At 40.5% G+C, this 17,945-nt stretch overlaps 1 protein-coding gene across 17 annotated transcripts in view; it reads left to right on the forward strand.

Moving 5' to 3' along the window:
• The window catches only part of CENPI (centromere protein I), an 83,656-nt gene that overhangs the window by 35,910 nt on the left and 29,801 nt on the right, over positions 1–17,945 (forward strand). For 15 of the 17 annotated variants that reach the window (XM_017029383.2, XM_047441951.1, XM_047441955.1 and 12 more), the window contains 5 exons: positions 6,553–6,647; positions 10,951–11,086; positions 12,040–12,164; positions 13,650–13,698; positions 13,830–14,048. In XM_017029383.2, the coding sequence (XP_016884872.1) occupies positions 6,553–6,647; positions 10,951–11,086; positions 12,040–12,164; positions 13,650–13,698; positions 13,830–14,048 (624 nt within the window). Of the gene's footprint in view, positions 1–2,818; positions 3,851–6,552; positions 7,178–10,950; positions 11,087–12,039; positions 12,165–13,649; positions 13,699–13,829; positions 14,049–17,945 lie in introns of those variants that run through there. The other 2 variants (XM_047441956.1, NM_001318523.1) reach the window with 2 other exon arrangements.

The raw sequence follows: 17,945 nt of genomic DNA on the forward strand, positions 1-17,945 counted from the left end.
GAGAAGAGGGAGAAGTTGAAAATGGAGAAAAGATTGGGAATAATTGATGGTACAAGATTCCAGAAGAAATATGAAGGTATTGGGTTAAAACTAGGTAGTGAGATTTACTTGAATGGGTGGTTAGGAATTGGGAGGCACCATTTATCCTCTAAGACTGGGGAGAGGATGCATGGATAGGTGGATATATAGATTTATTTGTAAAGTTAGAAGAAAGGGCAAGACATTAAAATACTTTGTGCCTAAGAATGTTAAATTTCTCAAAATAAGAAGCATGATTTAGAGAATAGAATTAAGTAGGACACTCCAGGAGGGTGTTAGCTGCTTAGGACAGCCAGGGAGAAAAAAAGAGCTGGTTAAAGACAAGTAAAAGGATTATTGAGCGTCATTAAGGGCCCAGCAGAAGTTGGCAATCATCAATTTGGAATGATGCCAATCTTTGCAGTTGTGTTTTCTTCCACTTAGATGTTGGAGAAGAGAAAGCAAATTATGAGATTGAATCAGTTTGGGTTTTGCTGGTTGAATGGAGTACAAGAAAGTTGTGATCAGCTGTGTGGTCTAGTCTAGATAGGAAAATAAGGCCAGGAGAAGGCTGATAAACCTGAAAAAGGAGGTTAAAAATTAAGGAATTGGCTGGGTGCGGTGGCTCATGCCTGTAATCCCAGCACTTTGGGAGGCTGAGGTGGGCGGATCACTTGAGATCAGGAGTTCGAGACCAGCCTAGGCAACGTGGTGAAACCCCATCTCTACTAAAAATACAAAAATTAGCCGGGCGTGCCCATAATTCCAACTACTCAGGAGGCTGAGGCAGGAGAATCGCTTGAACCCGGGAGGTGGAGGTTGCAGTGAGCCGAGGTTGCACCACTGCACTCCAGTCTGGGCAACAGAACAAGATTCCATCTCAAAAAAAAAAAATTTACAAAATTTAAAAAAGGAATTAAGGGATTGAATGTCTCTGATGTTGAAAAACGAGTAGCTATAGTTGGAGTTGAGTCTGTGAAAAAGCTGGAATAGGAAGTTATAACAAAGAAAAAAATAATAGATTTTGGTGTGGTTCAGTTCAGGTTATGACAGAATCTAGTGTGTGGCTGTGGGAGTGGGTAACTAAGGTGGAGTGAAGGTGAAGGTTATTTGATTCAAAGTCAAGGAACTGTGAAGCTGAAATGTTGGGATAATTTGCATGGACACTGGTGTAACTGAGGTATTGATGGCAGGACATGATGCAGAGTTCTAAGGTCCTCAATGAATCTGGATAAGATTCCAAGTGATAGCAGAGATATGAGAAGATAAAAAAATAGAGGGTAGTATAGCTGGATAGTATGAACAAAGGAGAAAGGGTTTTTTACACAAGGAAAGAGGAATAATGGTTTGGAAATAGGGTTGAAGATACCTTTTGTGTTGTGTTCAGAAAAGCAAGGGATAGTCAGACTCATGAGAAAAACTGACTGTAGCAAAATGCAATCAAATATTTAGCCTAACAAATTCAGCTTTTAGCAGTAGCTTGACTAATGAGGTTCTTTCTGTAGCTCACAAATTATTTGTAAACAATCTTAAGGCAATTTTTTTCCATGGCACTTGATTAAATAGAAGATCCATTTGATTTTTGTATATTATGGTTTTTTTTTTCTTAGATGGAGTCTCGCTCTGTCGCCCAGGCTGGAGTGCAGTGGCGTGATCTTGGCTTACTGCAACCTCCGCCTAGCGGGTTCAAGCGATTCTCTTGACTCAGCCTCCCCAGTAGCTGGGATAACAGGCGCCCACCACCACACTCGGCTAATGTTTTGTATTTTTTAGTAGAGACGGGGTTTCACCATGTTGGCCAGGCTGGTCACGAACTCCTGACCTCAGGTGATCCACCTGCCTTGGCCTACCAGAGTGCTGGGATTATAGGCATGAGCCACTGTGCCCGACCTGTATATTATCTTTTAAATTAAATCTGATTCCCTTCTTAAAGTAGGATTTATTTCTGATTTTATATTTACCTTCTCAAAGAAGGGGCTTATATTCTGTTCCACATTAGCAGTGGGAAGCTTAGTATAGGACACTGCTTACTTCTAGTTGTTAAGGCGGGATAGATATGGAAATGTATTCAGAGGAAACAGTGTCCTGGTTTGGTGGTGAAGGAGAGCTAGGATATGATTAAGGTAAGAAGACAGAGAAAGCATACTTTGTAGAATATGAAGGTGTATGTTTAGGTTACCACAGAACAGAGGTTCTGGATACTGCAGTTGAGAGATTTGGAAAGGATAGGATCAATGAAAGAGGACAAGAAGCATAGAGACAAGGAAGAATAAGTGACTAAAGGGGCTTACATATTGGGAGGTGACTAAGGATAACAGGAATGTGAAATATGGTAGAATTAGCTAAACGTTAGTTTCTGAGGCCTGTAGTAACTAGTTATTGCCTTGTTATTGTATAGCTTGATTACCCAGCTTAGTCTAATAAATGAATAGTATTTTTAAAGTCTATTAAAATATTTTCACATTTTCAGTGCGTTTTGTTTGGGCCTGGTCAGTTATGCCTATCAGCAAACAACTTATTTTCACCGAAGAATTTTGCATGGGAAAGGCCCCACAAATCCACACTAATGTTGTTATATTTGTTTTAGAGTGTTAATTTTTCAATATCTGTCCTTATTGATTTATCATTTTCCATAGAGTTGCAAACATAGTGGACATAAAAAATCAGAATACGTAATTAACATTGCATAATAATTTTCATGTTTCCACATAGTCGACATAATGTTGTTAATAGTGGCACTGTAGTCCTTAGTACCATAATTTATTTAATAATTTATTATTATTTCTCTCTCTTTTTTTAGAGACAGGATCTTGTTCTGTTGCCCAGGCTGGAGCGCAGTGGCATGGTCATAGCTCACTGTAACCTTGAACTCCTGGTCTCAAGGGATTCTCCCACCTCAGCCTCCCAAGTAGCTGAGACTACAGGCATGTGCCACCAAACCTGGCTAATTTTTAAAGTTTTTGTAGAGACAAGGTCTCACTATGTTGCCCAGGCTGGTCTCGAACTTCTGGCTTCAAATGATCCTTTCACCTCAGCCTCCCAAAATGTTGGGATTACAGGCGCGAGCCACTATACCTGGCCTCTATTATTTATTTCTAATTTGTTTCTTTTGTCGGAATAGATAACAGTCTCGAGCATCTTCATGATATAGATTTTTTTCTTAAACTCTTCCCTTGGCGTACATTTATAGGAGTGAGATTACTGGGTGAAAAGTAAGGTGCTGTTCCTTGGCTAATGGGATGTTCACTGCAAGTTCTTGGAAAGAAGGAGGATGCAGTGGATGGAGTGCTTAAATAACAAGAGTCTAGCAGCCATGGGAAAAGAATTGGGGTTTGGGAGATGATACTAGAATAAGGGAGACTAGCTAGGAGGATAAAATGACCTCAAAGGTATGAAGGCCTGGTCTTCACAGTTACAGTGGGATTGGGAAGGAAATGAATAAGTAAGACATTTTGAAGGAAAAAACATTGATAGAATATGGTGACTGAAGATAAAGTGTAAAGGATGCAAGATGACTTGAAGCTTTCCAACTTGAGATAGTAAATGAACTAGGGATATTTTGCCTGGAGGAAAAAAGGCTAAGATTTTCTGGTTCCCTTCCAATATTTGAAGGATTGTTACATGAAAGGAGATCTCTGTGTGGCTTCAAGAAACAGAGGTAGATATAGGGCAGTATCTCGTAACAGGTAGAGCAGACTCATGACGGAATAAAGGACTTTCAGAGGTGATATATTTCTTGACAGTGGAGTAGGTCAGGCAGAGGTTTAATGGCTGTCTATTCAGGATATTTATGTAGAAAAGGTTCACATGTAGGGTAGAGCTGTGTTTCTCAACCTTGTTTGTTTGTGTTTTTTCTTTTTTTTTTTTTTTTTAAAGATAGAGTTTTGCTCTTGTTGCCCAGGCTGGAGTGCAATGGCAGGATCTCCACTCACTGCAACCTCTGCCTCCCAGGTTCAAGTGATTCTCCTGCCTCAGCCTCCCGAGTAGTTGAGATTACAGGTGCCCGCCACCATGCCTGGCTACTTTTTGTATTTTTAGTAGAGATGGCGTTTCACCATGTTGGCCAGGCTGGTCTCGAACTCCTGGCCTCAAGTGATCCGCCCGCCTCGGCCTCCCGAAGTTCTGGGATTACAAGTGTGGGTCACTGCAACTGGCCCCTCATACCTTTCTTTAATGTGGTGACAGGGGTAGGGTAGGTGGGGAATTAAAGATTTTTTTTTTTTTTGATACGGAGTCTCACTCTGTCGCCAGGATGGAGTCCAGTGGCGTGATCTCGGCTCACTGCAACCTGTGACTCCCTGGTTCAAGCAATTCTCCTGCCTCAGCCTCCTGAGTAGCTGGGATTACAGACATGCCCAGCTAATTTTTGTATTTTCAGTAGAGATGGGGTTTCTCCATGTTGGCCAGGATAGTCTTGATCTCCTGACCTTGTGATCCACCTGCCTCAGCCTCACAAAGTGCTGGGATTACAGGCGTGAGCCACCACGCCCAGCCAAGATTTTTTTTTTTCCTGAGATGGGATCTCATTCTGTTGCTCAGGCTGGTGTGCAGTGGTGCGATCTTGGCTCACTGCAACCTCTGCTTCCTGAGCTCAAGTGATCCTCCCGGCTCAGCCTCCTGAGTAGCTGGGACTACAGGCACGTGCCACCATGCTTGGCTAATTTTTATATTTTTAGTAGAGGCAGGGTTTTGCCATGTTGCCCAGGCTGGTCTCGAACTCCTGGACTCAAGGGATCTGCCCACCTCAGCCTCCCAAAGTGCTAGGATTACAGGTGTGAGCCACTGTGCATGGCCAAGATTTTTGTTTTCTACTTTTTTTTTTTTTTTTTTTAGTTTTAGTAGAGGCGGGGTTTCACCATGTTGGCCAGGCTTGTCTCGAACTCCTGACCTCAGGTGATCCACCCGCCTCGGCCTCCCAAAGTGCTGGGATTACAGACGTGAGCCACCGCGCCCGACCTTTTTTTTTTTTTTTTTTTTTTGAGACAGTGTCTCACTCTGTCGGCCAGGCTGTAGTGCAGTGGCATGATCTTGGCTCACTGCAAACTCCGCCTTCCGGGCTCAAGCAATTCTCCTGCCTCTCAGCCTCCCGAGTAGCTGGGATTACAGGCACGTGCCACCACGCCTGGCTAATTTTTGTATTTTTAGTAGAGATGGGGTTTCACCATGCTGGCCAGGCTGATCTCGAACTCCTGACCTCAGGTAATCTGCCCTTCTCGGCCTCCCAAAGTGCTGGGATTACAGGCATGAACCACCACGCCTGGCCAAGATTTTTGTTTTCTAAATGTAACATTGTATATACCTACCGTGTACCCACAAAAATTAAAAATAAAATATTAAAAAAAGATAATATAACATTGTAATGTTGAATATCTTCAAATGATAAAATTCCTTGGTTGACACCAAAGTAGACTATTGTCTTAGATGATTCCAGAGTTGCTTTCAACTAGAACATACTTCTAACCTGAATGTGAGTTGTCAAAAAGTATATTAATTGAACTTTTCTCTGAAGTAGCAGTGAGCACTCTATTACTGGAAACACTCAAATGATTAGTAGACCATTATGTAGTAAGAATTTTTAAGAAAGGTTTGCTGTATTAGATTTTGGGATGGTATGGATTGCTTTCAAATTTATAGATATTACGGTTTATCATCATAAATGCCCTGGACGAATTTATGTCATTATTGTATGTTTTTTTTTTTTTGTTTTTTGTTTTTTTTTTTGAGAAAGAGTCTCACTCTGTCACCCAGGCTGGAGTGCAGTGGCACGATCTTGGCTCACTGCAAGCTCCTTCTCCTGGGTTCACGTCATTCTCCTGCCTCAGCCTCCCAAGTAGTTGGGACTACAGGCGCCCGCCACCACGCCTGGCTAATTTTTTTTGTATTTTTAGTAGAGACGGGGTTTCACCGCGTTAGCCAGGATGGTCTCGATCTGCTGACCTTCTGATCCGCCCGCCTCGGCCTCCCAAAGTGCTGGGATTACAGGCGTGAGCCACCGCACCCAGCCCATCATTGTATGTTTTTGTATGTGATTGAGGCTTGGGAAATCAAGGCAAGGCCTGAGAAAAGAAAGACTAGAATTGCTTTTTTTTTCAAAGTCACAGAAGATAAGATAAATTTTTATGACCATCAAAAAGGTGGCAAATTGTAATTGTAGACCACAAGGTAAAAAGGGAGAGAAATTCATATCTGTAGCAACTTCAAAAGTTCTCTGAGGGGGGATGATAAAGATGCTGTTTTTATTTGATGATGTAATAGTTGTTATAAATTGATGTAATTTAGAGAAAGGTCTGTTCTAGGCTGATAAGTTAGGCAGTCCTGTTGAGGTATGTTTCTTGTAGAGAAAATGGCAAAATAAACTTGTACTTGGCATTCGTCTGTCTTCTGGAGACTAATCATGGTGTAGAAGCAGCTGTTGGGTTCAAAATTTGATGTGGTCATCTCCATGGTCCTTTTCATCTCTAAGCCTCTGTTAGTTCTGAACACTGTTATGTCTGAATGATTTCATGAAATCTTTTTTCATTTTGTCCCCCTCAGTGTAGTGTGCTTCAGAGTCTGAAAGAGCTATTGCAGAATTGGCTGTTGTGGCTTTCTATGGACATTCACATGAAACCTGTTACAAACAGTCCTCTGTGAGTTATCTAACGGTCTTCCACAAGAGACGATCTGTATACAAATGTTTGCATATGTTTAATAGTGTGGCGTGAAACAATTTTTTTCATGTAAATGCTTAGTAGTACTTTTTTGGAAGACTTTTTTGTGACTTTTCACTCTTCTTCCCCCACAATCCTGAAAGGAAGGCTAATTCTCTAAGTTCCTATTGTGTAAATCAGAAAGCAACCCTTATCTGCTAAATGACTTCTTTCAAGAGTTAATATAACAAAACACTAGAGAGATGAGACTAGAATTTGCAACTTTGACTTCCATTCAGTTTAACTCATTTTATAAATTATATTCTTATATTTAAAGCCAATTTTCATGATGGCTAGAAAAATCTCTAACGTAATTTTGCGTACAACTTTGTTTTTATGTTTCTGTGCTGTATTTTGGTTATATGTGTTAATTTATCTTAACTTTGGAGTTTAAAATAAGAGCCCTAAATTGTTAAATGTGTGCTTTACCTTCAAAGTAAAAGTAAAAGACTAAATTTCAAGGAACTGCATAATCAGGTTGTTTTGACTCTTTCTACCTAAAATCTTTGCCTTCTCCTACATATATATATATATTTTTTGAGACAGTCTTACTCTGTCACCCAGGCTGGAGTGCAGTGGCACAATATTGGCTCACCTCAACCTCCACCTCCCAGCTTCAAATGATTCTTCTGCCTCAGCCTCCCAAGCAGCTGGGATTACAGGCATGTGCCACCATATCCAGCTAAGTAGAGATGGGGTTTATTTAGTAGAGATGGGGTTCCACCATGCTGGCCAGGATGGTCTCGATCTCTTGACCTTGTGATCTGCCCGCCTCAGCTTTCCAAAGTGCTGGGATTACAGGTGTGAGCCACTGCGCCTGGCCAAGAACCACTATTATAAAGAAATTCCACTTAAACATTTAATCTCTTCTACCTAAATTACATTAAGAATAGTACGTTTGAAATTACCTCCACCTGCCCCCCCCTTTTTTATTGAGACAGGGTCTTGCTCTGTCTCCCAGGAGTACAGTGACGCAGTCTTTGCTCACTGCAGCCTCGACCTCCCAGGCTCAAGCAATCCTCCCACCTCAGCCCCTGAGTAGCTCTGACCACAAGCGTGCACCACCACGCTTGGCTAATTTTTTTATTTGTTGTAGAGACAAGGTCTCACTGTGTTGTCCAGGCTGGTCTTCAACTTCTAGGCTCAAGCTATCCTCCTGCCTTGACCTTCCAAAATATTGGGATCACAGGTGTGAGCCACCACATCCAGTCTGAAATTCCTCTCTTTTACTTGTGGTTCTCCCTAACCTGCATTCCCTTCTGTGGGCTGCTGAGCCTGGACCCATATTTGTTCGTTCTCTATTCCCTGGATCAGCAGGAGATTTAACAAAATAGTAGGTTTGCATCTATAATATTTGGCCAACTTGCAGTGTAAGTCTCTGATACCCCTGAAATAGCTGCCTTACAATTTCTGTATTATCTTTTCAAAAATCTTCGGATTCCTCTTTTATTAGTGTCATAAGTTAAGGCAGACAATTTAAAAAGGAATTCTGTTTTCTAAAATTCTTATAAAAATGGTGATACATGTGGATAATTTTGCTTGCCATATCAATATTTGGCATTATATAGTATAGCTCAAGTTTTAAATAATTCTTTTTATTAAGTGTAGGTATAATGCCCTATTTTTATCATGTGACCATATGCCATATCACTGTCAAAAAGGGAGTAAATTGTAGTTATATATCATAAAAAGAGAAGGGTAGAAAACTTCTCAACAGTGGTTCTCGAAGGGGGCCATTTCTGGTTGTCACAGCGACTGGGAAGAGGTTGCAACCATCATTTAGTATGTGGGAGATGGGGATGCTCAATGTGCTTCAGTGGGTGGGAAGTAGGAGGCAGTCCTGAACAGTGAATTGTTTCATCCAAAATGCCGATAGTGTCTTGTGGAGAAACACTTCAAAAGAGGCTGTTCTGAGCAATCGTCTTTGTTTCAAATTATTTCAGACACAGTTGCCAAGTGCTACCAAAAATCATAGTTAAGATACAGTTATGCCTGTAATCCCAGCACTTTGAGAGGCTGAGGCCAGCGGATCACTTGAGGTCAGGAATTCCAGACCAGCCTGGCCAACATGGTGAAACCTTGTCTCTAGTAAAAATACAAAAGTTAGCTGGGTGTGGTGGTGCACGCCTGTAATCCCAGCTACTCAGGAGGCTGAGGCACGAGAATTGCTTGAACCTGGGAGGAGATTGCAGTGAGCTGAGATTGCGCCACTGTACTCCAGCCTGGGCGACAGAGTGAGACTCCATCTCAAAAAAAAAAAAAAAAAGCATATAGTTTTGCAAATAGCCAGCTGGCTATGTGTAGATGCTCGCCTATTTGAATGGTCTCCTGATCCTTCCTTGATTGCCTTGGCACTGAAGTATCATGGTGGTGGGCAGTAGTAGAGTCATCATCATCTCTGAAACTCTAAGATTATACATGTTCTTTTCCTTATGCGTAACCATTGTTGACTACCTAGATAGGAGGGCAAAGCTATGAATTCAAATTTGTAAGTCTTTTCCTAATCCATTTAACATTGGATTGAAGGACAGGGGTGAGTAGATGGATGGATTGAACTAATACCCATAGGTACTGTAAGAGACTCCATTCATTGATCCAGGGAGAATATAAAATAGCTAGATCTGTTTTTTGCTAGAAGAATAAAAGATGCCAAAAATTTTGCTAATTCCCTTTTAGGGTTGAATTGAATTCAAGTGAAAAAAAAATATACATATATATATTTTGAGATGGAGTCTCACTCTGTCGCCCAGGCCAGGCTGAAGTGCGATAGCACGATCTTGGCTCATTGCAACCTCCACCTCCTGGGTTCAAGGGATTCTCCTGCCTCAGCCTCCCAAGTAACGGATTACAGGCGTGCACCACCACACCTGGCTAATTTTTGTATTTTTAGTAGAGATGGGGTTTCACCATCTTGGCCAGGCTGGTCTTAAACTCTTGACCTCAGGTGATCCGCCTGCCTCAGCCTCCCAAAGTGCTGGGATTACAGGCGTGAGCCACTGCCCCCAGCCAAATTCAAGTGAAAATATGTTTAACAGCATTTTAGCTCAGGAATTCAGGCAAAACTGAGTTTTGATTTGTGTACTGTAGGTTTCCTTCAATCTGTGTTGCAATGTTACTAACAGTATAGGAAACGATTCCTGAAGTCATTTTAATGTTTATTCCTTTAAATCACTTTTGATTTGGTTGGGATAAATTAGTTCTCATTTTTTCTAGTTTACTGTATCATTTTGTCCGTTTTCACATTTTATCCTGAATATTTTCTTTTTCTTTTTTTTTTTTTTTTTTGAGACAGGGTCTTGTTCTGTTGCTCAGGCTGGAGTGCAATGGCATGATCTTGGCTCACTGCAACCTCCACCTCCTGAAGCAATTCTCCTGCCCCAGCTTCCCAAGCAGCTGGGATTATAGGCACCCACCATCACACCTGGCTAATTTTTGTATTTTTAGTAGAGACAGGGTTTCACCATGTTGGCCAGGCTGGTCTCGAACTCCTGACCTCAAGTGATCCGACTGCCTTGGCCTCCCAAAGTGCTGGGATTACAGGTGTGAGCCACTGCACCTCGCCTGAATTTTTTTTTTTTTTTTTTGAAACAGTCTTGCTCTGTCACTCAGGCTAGAGTGAGGTGGTGCACTCTCGCTCACTGCAACCTTTGCCTCACAGGCTCAAGTGATCCTCCCACCTCAGCGTCTTGAGTAGCTGGAACTATAGGCATGTGCCACCACCGCACTTAATTTTTGTATTTTTTGTAAAGACGGGCTTTTGCCATGTTGCCCAGAATGGTCTTAAACTCCTGGATTCAAGAGAGCCCCCGACCTTCGCCTCCCTAAGTGCTGGAATTACAGGTGTGAGCCACTCTGCCCGGCCCTGAATTTTTCATGTCACTTTTATGTGAACTTTTTTTCTCCACTTAACTTTTAATGGAATACCTATTTTTTAATGGTTTTTATATATCTCACTTGAGAATTTTCATATCTGCTTGGAGCTTAATACTTTATTTCTCTGGTATTTACTAGTAGAGTCTGATTGCTTAGAATGTTCTATGAATTCGTCTTAATGGTTCCCTGGAGGGCTAAGTGTAGTTTTATGATTACTCACTGTGATTTTTTAAAAAGTGAATTATACGTTGGAGCACTGATAGTTTTTAAAATCCTCACCAACATTTTGCTTTATATTATTCAGCTTTAGCTTGGAAATTGTGAACACTATTGCTACTCTATATCTGAATGTTATGGTTTCTTATTGCAGAGAGACAACTTTGGGTGGATCCATGAACTCTGTGTCTAAACTGATCCACTATGTAGGGTGGCTATCCACTACTGCAATGCGCTTGGAGAGCAACAATACTTTCTTGCTGCACTTTATTTTGGATTTCTATGAGAAGGTAGTACACATTACATTTTCCCCATTTGGATTTATGTGAAGGCTATCCACTTTATTGGCTTATTATTTAAATTTCATGCACAACCATTAAGGTGGGCTATGATCTTATTAGCATCATTAAAATAACCTCACATTTTGAAGTTCATGATTATTTTCTCACCAGAATAACTGACTTTCATAAACAAAGTGGAAAAACAATTGCTTTTATTTAGGGCCAGGTACCACTACATTGACCTGTGTTAATACTGGCCCTAGAGAGAAGTCTATTGTTAGCATTATTTTTTGTTCATCCCATTCCCAACTCCTGGCAGAAACCAAAAATATCTTGTTGTTTCTTCAGATCTCCATTTCTACCTTTCAGCTGCCTTACTTCTCTTGCTACCTAGTACGCTTTTATTGTTTTATAGTATATGACCTGGACAGAACTATAGGTTGGTGCAAAAGTAATTGCAGTTTTTGCCATTGAAAACAATAGCAAAAACTGCAGTTACTTTTGCACCAATTTAATATTATCCATGAAGTATCCATTATAGTCTCACTTTTCCCAGCTTCCTCTCTTTACTAATACCTAGTTGTCTTGTGTTATGCATTTGCTTAGAAGCATGCTCCTTTGTTTTCTAGGTTGACAGCTAACTCACATGGTAAGTAAATATTATGGGACTTAAGGATAAAGAAATACTTCCTTAATCTACCCTGTCCCCCTAACTTTAAGACCTTTCCCCCCAAAAAATGAAAGATTTGAGTAATGGCCTTCTGGAAATAATCCTCTATAGTGTGGCTGATGTTTGGTGAAGTATATTTTAAGCCAGCTTGTAGATGTTTATTTAGGAGTCAGGCATGTCCAAAGCTAATGTTATGTTATTGCTTATCTTGTACTGATGATTCTTTGGGTGAACTTAGTTGAGGAGTTCTGGGGAATACTCTGTATACTGATGTTATCATTCTTCCTCCAAGGTGTGTGACATATATATAAATTATAACCTTCCATTAGTGGTATTGTTTCCTCCTGGGATCTTCTATTCTGCACTCCTCAGCCTGGATACCAGCATCCTGAACCAGCTGTGTTTTATTATGCACAGGTACAAAGCCTTTTTACCATTTTATGAAACAGTGTATTATAATTCTCTCTTCCTCTTTCAGCTATAATACAATAAATATTCCTACTCGTCTTCTGCCAGGGCCTCTGGAAATAGGAAATGTGGCTTGCTTTTGGACATGACCTTCCGATATGGGGCCATGGTAGCTGTGTTTTTTAAATCCTCCACTGCTGTGGCTACAGAATAAAAAAAAATTCATAGTTAAGGACTTGTTGTGCAATGGTACTGTTGCACTCAGCATTGTTCATTCTAATTGCTGTGTCTTCAGGAAAAATTAGTCATTTGGTGATAATTGCTTGAAGTGTTTGTAGCTTCTCTGGTAAAAATAACATTTTCTGGGCGATAAGGGGAGCTATTGCCAATTATATGAAACTGTAAGTATTATTTCTGGTCTCCTCTAATTCTTTCACTTGTGGACTGAAATTACTTTCTTCAGTCCATAAGCGTAGACTTTTTTTTTGAGATGGAGTTTTGCTCTTATCACCCTGGAGTGCAGTGACATGATCTCGGCTCACTGCAACCTCTGCCTCCCGGGTTCAAGCGATTCTCCCCCCTCAGCCTCCCGAGTAGCTGGGATTACAGGCGCCCGCCACCACGCCTGGCTAATTTTTTGTATTTTTAGTAGAGATGGGGTTTCACCATGTTGGCCAAGCTGGTCTCGAACTCCTGACCTCAGGTAATCCACCCACCTCGGCCTCCCAAAGTGCTGGGATTACAGGCGTGAGCCACCATGCTCAGCTTAGTGTAGACCTTCTTGGCATAACTTGTAGGACTATGTCAAGGTTAAAATGTTTAAAAACTAATTAGTTGTTAATAGTTCTCAGACAAGAATTTCCTGTTTATCCTTTCTGCTGCACCTTTTTTTTACATTAGGAAAACATGTTCTATATCAGTGACTGACTGCTTTTGAGCCTCTGTTAATTTTTTTTTTATTATTTTACTTTAAGTTCTGGGATACATGTGCAGAACGTGCAGGTTTGTTACATAGGTATACATGTGCCATGGTGGTTTGCTGCACCTATCAACTCATCATCTAGGTTTTAAGACCTGCATGCATTAGGTATTTGTCTCAATGCTCTTCCTCCCCTTGACCCCCGACCCCCGACAGGCCCCAGTGTGTGATGTTCTCCTCCCTGTGTCCATGTGTTCTCATTGTTCAACTCCCATTTATGAGTGAGAACTCTATTACATTTTTAATAGTGAAACATTGAAAGCATTTTTCATTGCTTATTTTTTATTTAGTCAACTACACATCTTAAGTGTACAACTTATTGAGCCTCTATTTTCACTTGAGGAGAATGTATCACAAAAGGATAAAATCCTTAACTAGACAACTGGATATTTGTGTATATGCACATTTGCATATATTTACATTTAAAATGTATGTTTTTTTTAAATTTTACCATTTCAAAGGCATTATATTCAAAGGCATGTTAAATGTTTCATTCTGTTTGTTTTTTCTGTTAGATATCGTAAAAATTTGACTGCCGCAAAGAAAAATGAGTTGGTACAAAAGGTATGAATGAGAAAGCTCTGTGTTAAATCACTGTTGTTTAAAAATTAAGTCTAGATATATATGACCTGATGGGAGTAAGAAGGAAAGGGAGAATAGGTGATAGTGACAATTTTTTATTTCTTTCCCATTAGACAAAATCAGAGTTCAATTTCAGCAGCAAGACTTATCAAGAATTTAATCACTATTTGACATCAATGGTTGGTTGCCTGTGGACGTCCAAACCCTTTGGGAAAGGAATATATATTGACCCTGAAATCCTAGAAAAAACTGGAGTGGCTGAATATAAAAACAGTTTAAATGTAGTCCATCATCCTTCTTTCTTGAGTTACGCTGTTTCCTTTTTGCTACAGGTAAGGGTATTTAAAGAATTTTTAGATTTTGTATCTTAATACTGTGGTGGCAGAAATAGGAAGTGCCATAAATTTAATGTGTCTGAATTGTAAGACGTGTGTTTAGTAATTTTTTTTAAGTAACAACTAAATTTTGGGCATTGTGCTAGGCTCAGGGATTCCAGTTAATTTAAGTAAGTTTCTGTCCTCTAAGAGAGCTTGAGCTTGTAACAGAGACAGACTTGTAAACAAATTACTATAATACAGTGTGGCAAAATGAGAAAAGGTTCAGTTGTAAGAAAGATGGGGGAGTGATTAGTCCAGTCCTGCCTGGGTAGAGGTGGTGCCATGTAAGGAAACGCTTCATAGATGTGGAAGCTCTCATAAAATCCTTCTAGACAAGATAGAATATGTAGGTTAGTTAATAGTACAATTAGAGTCTTAGTCAAAGACTGCTGATTTAATGGATTGATATCAATATGCAGGCAGGTGGAGGAGGGTTTATGTTTGTGTGTGTCCTTTCAGGACTTCATTCTCAGCCCTGTCACTTTCAACATTATGTGTGTGTGACATGGAGAAGAACTCAAATGGTGGTATCTGAAATGCATGGATGAGACAACAGGGTGGAATTACAAATACCCTGAAAGAATTTGGACTCAGGATTCCCTTAACAGACGGGAACATTGAGAAATCTAACAAAATGAAAAAAAAGTGTGCAGGGTGGGGGAGATATTCATTGAATAAATTTTAATATATGTATACAATGAACCAGGCACTACAGTGAATAAGACACTCTGAGTGTTGTCCTCAGAGAGCTTAACATCTAGTCAGGGAGGCAGTCATTAAACAGACATCTTAGAAAAAACAATAATAAGTGATGTAATAGGGGAAAGTATAGAGGATGATGAAAAAATATAAAGGGGCGCTAAGTTCAGGATTTGCAGAAATGATGCTGATTGGAATTTTGAAGCACGAACATGAGCTTGTCAAGATAGGAGCAGAGTTTGAGGAAAAGTACAAAGATGCAGAGCAAAGATAGAACAGAAGTCAGCAGACTTTTCTTGTAGAGGGCCAGATTGTAAATATTTTAGATTTTACAGGCCACGTGGTCTGTGTCAAGAGTACTCAACTTTATCATTGTAGCATGAAAGCAGCTGTAGACAAAGCATAAACAGATGGCTATAGTTGTATTCCAGTAAAAAATTTATTTACAAAACAGGTGTTGAGCTAGAGTTTGGGCTTTGGGCCGTGGTTGGCTGAACTCTGTGTTAGAGCCTGTCATGTTTGAGGAACATGAGGCAGAATTGTAGGGCTAGAGCAGTGATTCTACACTGGCTGAGCAGCAGAATTGTCAGTGGTGCTTCTTCTTTTTTTTTTTTTTTTTGAGATAGAGTCTCGCTCTGTCGCCCAGGCTAGAGTGCAGTGGTGCGATCTTGGCTCACTGCAACCTCTGCCTCCCAAGATCAAGCAATTCTCCTGCCTCAGCCTCCCGAATAGCTGGGATTACAAGTGCCCACCACCACGCCTGGCTAATTTTTATATTTTTAGTAGAGACAGGGTTTTGCCATGTTGGCCAGGGTGGTCTTGAACTCCTGACCTCAGGTGATCTGCCTGCCTCGGCCTCCCAAAGTGCTGAGATTATAGGCATGAGCCACCGCGCCCGGCCAGTGGTGCTTTTTCAAAGTGTACATCCTTGGCTGCTCCCATGCTGAGACTCCGATTTAATAACTCTAGGGTGACATTCAGGACCCACCTTTTAAATAGTTCTGATATACAACAAGAGTTGAGAGCCACTGGGCTAGACTATAACATGATAGGAGATGAGGTTTTGAAATGTAGTCAAGGACTAGATGCTGAGGAAAATAATACATAAGCCTCTGAAACCATATTGATTGATTAGAATATTTGAATAAGAATTATATTTTTTAACTACGTAGAAGAATTTCAGAGACATTATAGTGATTTTCTGATATTTCTTGTCTTTTTCTCTTTTCTTACCTTCATAATAACTTGATTTATCATACAATATACAATAACCTGTGTCAAATTAATAATATTAATGTTACTACTAATATGAGGCTACTAGATGAAATTTTAAATGTTTGCAGGTCTTTTTCCCCCTGCACTAAATCCTTCTACAAACGTAAGGTGCACATACTGTATTTTACATGCAGTTAGGTACATTTGTTGTTTCTGTTTGTTTTCATGTTTTACAGATTGCCTTATTATTTTTTTTTTTTAAGACAAGTTGTCATTCTCACTCTCTGTCCCCCAGGATGGAGTGCAGTGTCGCAATCTCGGCTCACTACAGCCTTGACCTTGGGGGCTCAAGTGATCCTCCCATCTCTGCCTCCCAAGTAGCTGGGACTACAGGCGTGCGCCAACGCTCCTGGCTAGTTTTTTTGTATTTGTAGGGATGGAGTTTCGCCATGTTGTCCAGGCTGGTCTCAAACTCCTGAGTTCAAGCGAGATGCCTGCCTCAGTCTCCCAAAGTGCTGGGATTAAAGGTGTGCGCCACTGTGCCTGGCTACTTTTTTTTTTTATTTAATTTTATTTTGAAATATGTAAAAATTTACATAATTCTATACTATGAAAATCTCACTTCTGTCCTTTCCTCTTCCATCTTTTACCATCTTCTGCCTTGAGATAACCATTTCTATTGCTTTTTGTTTTTTCCATCCAGTGTTTTCCTTTCTTTAAACTTAGTAAGCATTGTTTTATAATCTGTATTTGATAATTCCAATGTCTGAAGTTTTTGAATGTCTGTTTCTGTTGCCTGCTTTTGTGTGTGTGTGTGTGTGTGCTTCTTCCTCATACTGCTTAGTTTCTTTGTGTGCCTGGTTATCTTTGACGATGTGCTGGATACTTGGAATATTATTTTATAGAAATAATTTGAACACTGAAATGATATATTTCTGCACAGAGGACTTTTCTTTGCTTCTCACTGGTACCCAGTGGTGTTCTTTGTCTGGTACTACCCTAATCCAAGTTCTGTGTCTGAGATTCCCTGAACTATAGGAGGTTAGACTGCAAGCTTGTGAGAGGACTAATTTACTTCTGGTTATGTCTTATCTTGAAGGTATAGCCCATTGGGTTTCCAAGTTTAAAGTGGGGCATGATTTATAAGAGTTCCCAATTTTGGAAAACCCTGTGCTCTGAATTTAATTACCTTAGTTCTTTGAGACCGTGGAAGTACAGTTCACTTTGGTAGCAAATTCCTCTGGATTGGCAAATTCCCTCAGGCCAAAAGTGATTTTGAGTATTAGACTTACTTCTTTGGGTTATCATCTTCTATATTTTGGCCTTGTAACTCCTTACCGTAGCATTAGCACCTTGTTACTTTAAAAAAAAATCTACCTTTTGTTATGGAAAATGTCAAACATAACAAAGGTAGAATAGTATGATGAAGCCAGGCACGGGGTGGCTCACGCCTGTAATCGCAGCACTTTGGGAGGCCAAGGCGGGCAGATCACTTGAGGTCAGGAGTTTGAGACCAGCCTGGCCAACATGGGGAAAGCCCGTCTCTACTAAAAGCACAAAAAAATTAGCCGGGCGTGGTGGCACGTGCCTGTAGTCCCAGCTACTCAGGAGGCTGAGGCATGAGAATCGCTTGAACCCAGCAGGCAGAGGTTGCAGTGAGCCGAGATGGCACCACTGCACTCCAGCCCAGGTGACAGAGCAAGACTCCATCTCAAAAAAAGAAAAAAAAAAAAAAAACAAGAACAACAAAAAACAAATATACAGTTCAAAGGCTTTTAGTTTATTCATAGAGCTGTGCATCCATCACCATCATCAATTTTAGAACATTTTCATTATTCCCAAAAGAAACATCACACCCCTTAGCCATCATTCCCCAGGGCCTCCCACCTCCCAGTCTTAAGCAAACACTAATCTACTTTACATATCTATGTATTTGCC

Source organism: Homo sapiens, chromosome X (genome assembly GCF_000001405.40).
Source record: "Homo sapiens chromosome X, GRCh38.p14 Primary Assembly".
NCBI lineage: Eukaryota > Metazoa > Chordata > Mammalia > Primates > Hominidae > Homo > Homo sapiens.